Here is a 10676-nt window from a genome sequence, read left to right as displayed (position 1 = left end):
CAATTTCATTGTGTGTGCATTCATTTGTTTGCTCAACAAATATTTATTGGGTTCCTAACATATGCCAGACATTGTGCTAGGTCCCCAGTATATAATGAGGAAACAAGACAGATTCACTCCCCATTGTGATTTAGGGGGATTGAGAGTGCTGTCATGCAGAGAAACTCTCCAAAGCAGTGGTGGGAGGGGCCCTTCCTGAGCCAGCTTCTCTCCTTGCTATTGCTCCTGTTGCCCTGCCATGGCAGGATCTCCACCCAGCCTCCCAGACTCTCCTGCACAGCGGCCCATTGAATCCTGCCTTCCTGTAGTAAGAACTTACGGTAGCTTGCTAATGGGGTGACACCCTTGCCTCTTGTGTGTGGACAGTGCAGTGGTTGTTTGCAGCAGGAAGTTTGCAATAGGCCCCCTCCTTGCTCCTGCATCCAAATTCAGGAGTTCTTTGGCTATCCAGTCAGGCGATTGGAAGAGACTGAGTCCCCCACATTATCCCCTAAACGATGTCCCACCAGAGAGTTTAGCCTGAGCACCTAAAAGCTGTCTTCTTATTCTACGTCTGCCAAATCCCAAATGATGATCACGATGCTCATTGTTCACTGAACCTCTTCCTTTTCTCCATTAGTAGAGCAATGTGGGAGTGGACGGGTAGAGAGAAGTTGGAAGTTGAGGATTTTGTGGCATGTTAGGCTTGCACTTCCCAAGTTAAATGCTGACCTTTATATTTGTGATGTGGTACCCATTGGTGGGGACCTAGAGGTGTAGGAAACAATGGGATGACAGAGCATCAAGAAAATGGAGGCAAAAGACCGTCTCCTCTCCCCCAGCCCCTCTAAGACATCCAGTGCTGTGTGAGGTGAAGAGTCACAGCTTGACGACCTGAGAAAAATCCTTTTGCTCTTCAGAGCTAAGTAAGAGTGTGCAGGAAAGAATTTCTCTTAAAGGACAAGAGCTGGGGCTCACTGGTGCCAGGATGATTGTTTAGGGTTAGAAGAGAAAATAAATGTGAGTATTTGTGTTATCCGCTGGAGCTGTCGTTTGTGCAAAAACTTTAATAAATCCCTTCCACGTATAAGCACTATGCTAGGTGCCAGGTATGCAAAGAATAGCAAGATATAAACCTCCTCCTTGGGATCTTATGATCCAGCTTAGGTTCTGGGAAAGGCATTTGTGTTGGAAAAACAAATAAATATTTAAAGAGTTTTTCAGTAAAATTGCATAAATCTACTTAGATGTTGAAAGCACAAGATGTCCTTGTTGGGGCAAATGGGTGACTAGGTGTCTGAGAAGCTGTAAAGGATGCATTTGGAACCCACTGGAGTGTGGTGAGCCTGTGAGCTGGGAGGCAGCCTGGACCTCATGATTTCCAGAAGCAGGAGTTTCTCCTTTTAGGTAGTGTCAGGGAGTCAAAGAGCTAGGGGGGCAGTGTCATTAGGGAGGAGGATGGTGTCAGAACCCGAGTAACCCTCCTCTTGGGACTTCCGGAGCTAGTCGGTGAAGAATTTAGAAGCAGGGCTCTTCCCATTTTGTGTATGTGTGATTCCATATTACTCATGGCCAGCAGGGATTGAAGAAAGCTCTGGTACATAGAAAGCAGGTTGACTAATTTCCCTTTCTTGGAAATCTGAGTGGCAAATCACAAAGGGTGTGAGTAAAGAGAAATGAGCTTTTTTTTTTTTTTAATCAAAGGAAGTTTAAAACGACATTGTTCTTGCTCTTTTCATAATATAAAATCTGTCATCATACTTCATGTAAGTAACTATAGATGGGAAGCCATTGACATTCAGTTAGAGGACAACAGAGAGCAGATTTCTGGGTTAGTTAAAATTAGATTTGGTCACACATAACAGAAAACCACAAAGCAATCAGTTGCTTAGGCAAGGTAGAGGTTCACTTCTCTGTCATGTAACTGTAATACTGGCTAGCAAGGTGGTCCTTACAAATTCATGCTCTGATCTTTCCACTCTGACATTTTCAGTGCATGGATGGCTTTTGTTTCCAAGGCCACCTCAAGGTCCAAAATAGCTGCTGGAGGTCCAGCTGTCACATTAAGGTAGGAAAGAGAAGAAAAGCAGAAATGCAAAACAAACTCTTGCTGACAATCTATGCCTTTCAATAAAACTTCCTGGAAAAGTCCCACTCAGCATTTTTATTTACATTGTATTGAGCCTAGCTTAGCCACATGGTCATGCCAAGCTGCAGGAGAGACCAGGAAATGTAATGTTTAGCACCCAGGTAAAAAGAAGTTTGGTCTTTAAGGAGGGGGGAGTGGATGGGTATTAGGTAATAAATGACAGTCTCTACTGCAAGGTTTTTTTTTTTTCTTTTTTTCTTTTCTTCCTTGTCCTTCTGTCTTTAGAGTCTAGGCCTCTTGTTGTGCCCTCTAACTTCCAATCCCACCCCACTCATGGAAGAAATAACTTACAATAGCTTTCTAATTGGCTAGATAGAGAGAGAGAGAGAGAGACAAAGAGAGAAAGATTAGATAGACAGAGAGACAGATACATAGAAATAGGTAGATTGATTGATTATAAGGAATATCCAATATTGTCCATGTGATCATGGAGGCTGAGAAGGCTTGTAATCTGCCATCTGCATCTTGGAGACTCAAGAAAGCCCATGGTGTAATTCATTCCAAGTCTGAAGGCCTGAGAAGCAGGGGAGCCAGTGGTGTAAATTCCAGTCTAAAATAAGCAGAAGAGAAGATGAGGTATCCCAGCTCAAGCAATGAGGCAGAAAAAAGGAGGTAAATTCCTCCTTCCTCTGCCTTTTTGTTCTATTCAGGCCCTCCACAGATTGAATGGGGCCCACAACACTGGGGAGGGCCATCTGCTTTACTCAGTTCCCCCATTCAAAGGCTAATCTCATCTGGAAATATTCTTACAGACACACCCAGAAACAGTGCTTAACCTGGGCACCCCACAGCCCAGGCAAGTTGACACATGAAATTAACCATCACGCCTCTCCCATGAAAGTCACATTCCCTCAACAAAGCAGGTCCTAGACGTTCAGATGTGGGTGGAGATTGAACAAACCCTTCCGGAGTGCACACTGTGTCCTGAGCACTACGCAAGACACTTCTGCGTCCCTTGTTCTCAGGGATACGGTCGACATATTGTGAGAGAATCCAGCTCCCCAGACGTGATATTACTCTAAATAGGCTGTGTCTTATTCATCTTTTTTCTTGGCACATAGTGGCCACTTATGAAGGCGGATGTCAGGAACTCTTACACATCCTCCTTCTTGCTCTTTTTCTCTCACTCTGCTCTTTCTCCTCCTTAGGAGCAGGGGAAAATGGAACTGAAGTGGGCCTGACTAAGCATTTCAACTTTCCAACCTGTTGTTAATATTTTCGTACAGGTTTTGGTATCTCTGTCTCTCAGCAGCAACCAGAGCCCAACACAAATGTGCAAATAGATAAAGTTAGTCTTTATTTCCCTTGGGGTTTCCCCTGCTGCTCCCTCTTTCCTGATGCAGAGGGCTGGCTAAGTGCTGGGATGTGTGGTGGAGACGTTGCTGATCAGGGCCTTTTTTTTCTCTTGAGACAGAGTCTCGCTCTGCTGCCCAGGCTGGAGTGCACTGGTACGATCTCAGCTCACTGCAATCTCCACCTCCCAGGTTCAAGCGATTCTCCTGCCTCAGCCTCCCACGTAGCTGGGATTACAGGTGCATGCCACCACGCCTAGCTAATTTTTGTATTTTAGTAGAGATGGAGTTTCACCATATTGACCAGGTTGGTCTTGAACTCCTGACCTCAAGTGATCTGCCTGCCTCAGCCTCCCAAAGTGCTGGGATTACAGGTGTGAGCCACCATGCCCAGACTGAGCAGTCTTTGTTCTCTCTACTCTCTCCATATGCCTGGCTCATGGTGAACATGCCTGGGTCAGAGGTCAGGGATGCCAACTTCACCAAAAGCAGAGGTGTATGTAAAGCTATTTCATATGGTACACCAAGTGGAGTTTATGAACTAAGGTCTCTCAGCCTCTCCCTGGGATCCAATCTTGTTGTTAGAAGTAGAAATCTAATTTTAGTTGGATTACTACCATGACAACATTTCTCTGCTTTAAACTATTCAAGCTTCAGGCAAGATAGTGTTGCTGACACTTTTCCCTATAACTTCCCCAAAATTACATATTTCTGCAAGTGAATGCATAATTTTCACTGCTTTTTTTTTTCAAAATTTTGAATCCCCCACAAGAATAATTAGAAATAATCATATGGTAGATCCTTGTTTTTGCAAGCAGTAATAGTACATACCTAAGTAAGAAAAAAGGATATAAAAGAAAAAAAAAAGGGAAAGACAAGCAATTATGAGGCTGTGTAGATTTAGCTCAGCATTTTTGTTAACAGGTCTGTATATTAAATTGAGCCTTTACCAAAAAAATATGGACATGTATTTTTTTAAACTTACAATGTAGAGAGTAAACATTGCAGAAATGATTAACACTTCAAATGATCTATGTGCTAATAATTTTGAGTTATTTTCTAACATATAAAATGTATAAGAGCCCCAAGACCATAGAGAAGGGTTTTCTAATGCCCACAGTTAAAAGTCCTTAATGCCAATGTGTTGCTTCAAAATGGCCTTTCTTGTTTACCACCTATAAGGTTGGGTGGAAGAGAACATCCTTCAGAAAATTTCTGTGTGCAGTTTCTCTCTGAGGTTGTCAAACCCTCCCAACTCTACCCCATCCCCCCAAAACCCCAGGTGATTTTAGGGTTTACCCTATCTTGCTCCTGTGATGCCATAGGCCCTTCTGCCACGAGGCAAAACCTCCCCTCCCATAGAAAGAGACACACTGGCGAGGGGAGTCAGGAAATTTGAGTTCTAACACCTGCTAATTACCTACACCTTTATGCCCAAGGTGTCTATAAAATGAGGAAATTGGAACAGATGATTTCTCAGGTCCTTTCTAGCTCGGTGATTCAGACTCTACTCTCTCCTATCTGAAATTCTGCAATGAGAATGTTCCGTCTTTGCCTTAACATAAATGTCCACGAAGGGATAGCATATTAATGCATATTTAGGAGTTTATATTTTAGTGTGAATTGTTTTGAGAATTATGATCAAGCTGTAAAACCCTAATTTCAGCCTTATTGCCGCTAATATAGGTAAGTTTACAAAGACTTACTGATTGTGTCTTGTTTTTCTTTTAATCTTTTACAAAGTGAGGATTCTCTTTCAAACTGTTGCTTGGATGGCTTGCATAGCTCCCTGCAGCCTAATTGCTTCAGAAACAGTGAAGTCTAATTACAAACCCTTCCGTGTTTTCTCTGATTTTAGTCTTCGTTCCTGTGTAGATTGATTTCAAAGTATGCCTTTGAAGATTAATCTCTTCCACTGAGCCCCAGTTAGGAAACAAGATTATAGCAATGGCAGCCAAAGTAACAGCTGGTTTTTTTGTTTGTTTGTATTTTGTTTTTTTTTTTTTGATTCACAAGTTGCTATACATTGTACTTTTTAATGGAAAAATCTCTGTATTTGAGCTCTTGTTATATTTTCTGTGGTATCTCAAAAATTCTCTTGGATATAAGCCATCTGGATTTTTCTGCAGTCCTCTCAAGTTTCAAAATAGTGATACTTAGAACGTATTTTGCAGGGTTTCTATCGGTCAAGGGCATGCAGTTCTGAAAATCTTGTGCTGTGAGGTCAGACAGGACCGTTGGCCATCTGCCAATTGACTTGCATTGTTTACCTTTTTAACTCACAACCCTGGAAACGCTGTTGGTGTCCCCCCGGCCTTCACTGGTTTTCTGAGTATCTGCCCCTTTGCCTGCTTGAAGTGCTTAGTCCTGGCTAGTGAAGCCTTTAGGAGTTCCCAATTTCTTGCTTCACAGGTTACTAAAAATGAAGACATATCTGTTAAGTGTTGCTCAAGAGACCAAAACATAATCCTAGGACAGGATGTCTGGAAAGGATGTCTTGCCTGTCACGCAGCATAATACATGGTAACAAGTACTGGCTTTGGAATTAAACTTCTATCCTTTCATTGCTAAATGGCTTTGGGAAAGTCACATTCCCATTTTGTACTTCAGTTTCTTCTTTTGTAAAAAGGTCATGCAAATATCTATCTTGCAGGTTTGTTGTGATACTTAGAGATTGTCTGTGAAGTGCCAAAATATGTGTGTGTGTGTGTATATATATATATATATATTTTTTTTTTTTTTTAAAGTCAACCTTTGGAAATTGCCCTCTGTTGTCGGATACTTTAGTTGTTTTCGGTGACTCCTTATTATAAATAATGTTAAACTATCTTATGAGAAAGGTTCTTCTACGCAAAGGCACCAGGGTCACCTAAGGTCCTGTCTGCTCAGGGCCCCTCAGAATGTCCCTGTCTACAGTAATCAGGAGAGTGTTTCTCCTTTGGTTACAGTGTGCAGGAATGAAGGGAAAAAGACTGGTAAACATATTAGGGGACATTCCAGTTGCATGAAAGGCATAAGTCCAGAGTCTTTTCATGCAACATGAAACCTTCATGCTGTGGCTAGGGTCCACTCTATAAAGAATATCTTTGCTCTTGCAATTTTCCATTGTGCAACAAGGACATGACTTTAATCAGACCATAAACCTCTTATTTCATGCTAGTCTGTGTCTTTTTATTGGTCTTAGTGTCCTCGTTTGTAGTTGTGCAGAGCTGTCATTTATCCCTTGAAAGGGAATTTCATAAGACATGTGATCCAGTGCACAGCTGTGTCAGTCCCATGAGAGGTGAATAAACTCGACAGGATGATAGTGGAGGAAGATCCAGGATGGTAGGTGTGCAGTGACCCTTGAGCAAACAAATAGCACAAAACAAAACCTGGCACCTATTAACTCCAGGGAAAACAAAAAGCTGTGCAGGGAAGGAAAAGTAATCATAGTTTACTACTCATATCAGCAACAAATGGCATTTACACAGTCACAAGAAGGTAAACAAATCTAAACAAAATTATGGTATAACTACATTGGGAAGATAAGGAACCAGGAAGTGTGTGTGTGTGTGTGTGTGTGTGTGTGTGTGTGTGTGTCTGTGTGTGTGGTGAGAGAAGAAGGTGAGAAAGAATATTATATACTGAATTTCTAGAGTTAGAAACCAAGACAGCAAAATCTGAAAAGTCAAGAAGCAGTAGTATAAACATTTTACTAGAAATGTAAAACTAATTCCAAAAGAAATAGCTGAAAAGAATTGAAAGTAGTTGCTTCCAATAAGTAGGATGCTCTAAATTATTTGCATGTATAATTTTAATAAAAATTAAAATGACAGGAAAAAAGGAACCAAGGAAGAAATATCAATTATAATACTTCTCAAGTAAATGTCCTTTAAAAAATGAAATTCTTCCTTTAAAAATGAAGTTGCATTTTACTTATGTGACATGAATTTCCTTTCCCTGTAAAACAATGACTCTCAATAGGAAAGGACTTCCTAACCCTAAAAATAACACAACTAAGTCAAAATGTAATAAACCGTGATGCACACTCATAGCTTTCATTTTTTAATTAATTTACATACAATAAAAGGTATCCATTTAAATGACATTTTGATTTGTATCTGTGCAATCTCAGCCACAATTAATATATAAATGATGGGGTGCTCCCTCCAGCAGCACATATACTAAAATTGCAGAGATACAGGGAAGATTAGCATGACTACCGTGCAAGGATGACTTGCAAATTCATGATGCGTTCCGTATTTTTAGTAACTCAGCAACGGAAAGTCAGATACTGCATGTTCTCACTAAACAATAGGTACACATGGACAGACAGAGTGAAGAATAGACATTGGAAACTCCAAAAAGTGGGAAGTTGGGAGGGGCGTGAGGGATGAGAAATAACCTATTGGGTACAATTTATACCGTTCAGGTGATGGTTACGCTAAAAGCACAGACTTCACCACTATGCAGTCTATCCAAGTAACTAAAATGCATTTGTACCCGCTAAATCCATAAAAATAAAATAAAGGTGTAGATGATGGCGCATTTCCACCATCGCAAGTTCCTTTCACCCTGTCTCTAGGGATGCCCATTCCCAGCCCCGGGCAGCCCTTCCTCACTTTCTGTTTCTTTAGATTCGATGTGCCTTTTCTAGAGTTTCACAGACATGAGCTAGAATGCCTAGGATGGACTCTTTTGTGTTGGGATTCTTTCCAATGCATCTGAGTTTCATCCCAATTCCTGTGTGTGGCGTACCGTTCCTTTTATTACCGATTAGTAACCTATTAGGTGCGTTTGCCATCATTTGTTTGTCTAGGATAGAACGCTTTGGCAAACCTTTGGATAGCTGAATTTTTAAAAAGATTTCTAAAGTCTTTTGACTACGAGCTCTTCCCCCTACCAGGCAAACTCTCTGATGGTCAATTATCAGAAAGGAGCCGGTGACTGACAGCGGAGTCTGCTGCTTCCGGGTAACCCAGCTTGGTTGCTTAGCAACAAACAGAAGAAGTGTATTAGTTTAGTGGATTCTGAACAAAAAGGTAATCATCTTTTATCCCCAGATAGACAGGAGACGATGTTATTCCGAGTGAAGTGGGGGAAAAATAAAAACCGTAAAAATGGAAAGAAAACACATCTTGTAAATAACCACGATGACGCCTTCCGTAGGCACACCAAGTGTGCTGTGAAGACCAAGAAATCCCTGTTTAGACAAAATACCATGGTGTTAGGTGCTGCTGTGCAAAATAGTTTAAAATTTGCAAATAACTGATACCAGACATTAATAACTCATGACAGAGATAAAGAGAAACAGGTTAACCTTCATTAGCATGAATTCTGCAAAGGATCCATCTGAGATGAGGAAGAAACCTCGTCCCCTCTCCATGCCCCTTCAGAATGGAAGGCTAGAACTCCGGTAGATGTTATTCTTCCTCTCGCTGAATTGAGTAATTGTTTTCCGTAGTAAATGTGATTGACTTGTGTTTGTTCACTGGATTCCTTAATCTCAAAAAGAATGGCATCCATTTTGCAGGCAATGATGCTGACGGAAGTTATTTTTTTTTTTTTAAACTTCCTCGGGAGTTTTGCCAACTTGCGATGGCTACTTCCTTCTCATTATCGGCACCTCCTTCCCAGCACCCAACAATATCATCTAGCAGAAATAGCTCTGCTAAGAATCACTGATTTAACGAGTAGACTGTCCTTCAGCCATTGAATGCGAAGTGTTTAATAATCAATCAGAGATCGGGTTCACTTAGGTTTACGGGGTTGAAAGGGAGACAAAAACCCTTCACCATCACTTCTCAGCCAGTCCTGGAGCCGCTCTCCACTTCCCTCCTGATGACAGGTTTCTGGGTTTAAATCATGCCCCCAGGGAATGGATGTGAAACTGTGGTCCTGCAGTTTGCTGTCAGTGCCTGGGTATCCTGTAAAAGACAGCTTTGCAGTTTCATTTATTGGAGGGGCAAAGTTGACTGCCAAATAATTGGGTTGAGACTCCCCCAACTCCCCCTTACTTTTCTTGGGATTGTAGGGACCACTTCTCCCCATAAACATATTAAATTGCAGCCTTCCAGAGGAAAGAGATAGAGGAACACATCTTTCAGAGCTGCTATTTTTTTAAATTTATTTTCAGACTAATTAAAAATGTTCTGGTCTTTTCTGGTTTTGAATTGTAAAGACGTGCGCTTGTCCTCTGCATTGTGTGTGTGTGAGAGCACACCGAGACAGAGGAACAGGAAGGCAGAGTCTGCAAAAAACCTTGCAAAACCAAAACACATCCTGGGGCCCCACACAATTAGTGAAAATCTTGCTGCTACTGTAGAGCCGAGGTGTAAAAACTTTGAGCTGCTAAGTGCTTGCAGCATTGTGCTCTCTGCTTGTGACATTTTGTGGCCGTGGTTTCTGCTCAGGTGAGATTTATCAGTTCAAAGAATAGACTCAATGGAAAAGTACGGCTTTGCACATAAACAGACTGTCGTTCACAACCACCACGTTGACGGCAGTTTACTGAAATTAATTCTCCTTTGAGTTAAAAGACTTAAAGCTCCCAAAGAATGTGTCCATGTTTATATATTTTAAAATATATAAAAGAAAAGCCAAATCACTTACCACTTAATTTCTAAGTTAGTGTTTCTGAGGGATGGAAAAAAAATAACTAAAAGTTTTGGACCAGAGAATTTTTTTTTAATTTTTTATTTATTTTATTTTATTTTTTTAAATTCAGATTTGGGGTCAGCAGTGGCACTGAGGTTTTGGTTGGATTCCATCTCATCCTTTTTTTCTCTGAGTTTTGTTTTCTTTTTTCCTCTCTGCTATAACTCTCTGGTGAAATGGCAAGGAACTAACAGTGATAAGAAAAAGTGAGAAACAGATCCGTGTAGCAGTAATGACGGAAACTAAAAAGCGACTGCACCCCTGAGACATACGCCAATTACAACACAGAGAAATACGATGCCATGACATCTGTTGGGCCTGTTGTTTACCAAGTCGAGGTGGCAAATATTTGTTGGGCATCTCCTATGCGTAATGCATCCTAGACGCCTATTCACGGACCTCAAGACATTTCTAGTAGAGATAACTTATTCTGAACAGCAATTCTCAAAAAACTTCAAGGATCCTCCAAGAAGAGTTATTTGAGTCAGAGGGTATCAGGGAACCAACAGGGCGTGAATGAGATGCGTGGGGAGTGGCTCAGGTCAGGGCCTGGGGATGACATGGGGCAGGAGAGCCATCCTTTTCAGAGTGGTCACTAGAAAGGTTTCATCATGGTT

General features: G+C 41.3%; 1 pseudogene, besides 1 other annotated feature; it reads left to right on the top strand.

The window, feature by feature from the left end:
• Nucleotides 5511–5805: a silencer, noted in NCBI's record as "tiled region #3847; K562 Repressive non-DNase unmatched - State 21:Repr". NCBI's record gives its function as "represses a minimal TATA promoter and a strong SV40 promoter by Sharpr-MPRA in K562 cells {active_cell/tissue: K562}" and the evidence as "EXISTENCE:reporter gene assay evidence [ECO:0000049][PMID:27701403]".
• RNU6-535P (RNA, U6 small nuclear 535, pseudogene) lies at nt 7563–7669 on the top strand (annotated as a pseudogene).

The sequence above is a fragment of the Homo sapiens genome, chromosome 10 (genome assembly GCF_000001405.40).
Source record: "Homo sapiens chromosome 10, GRCh38.p14 Primary Assembly".
NCBI lineage: Eukaryota > Metazoa > Chordata > Mammalia > Primates > Hominidae > Homo > Homo sapiens.
This window is presented reverse-complemented; position numbering and strand designations above follow the sequence as displayed.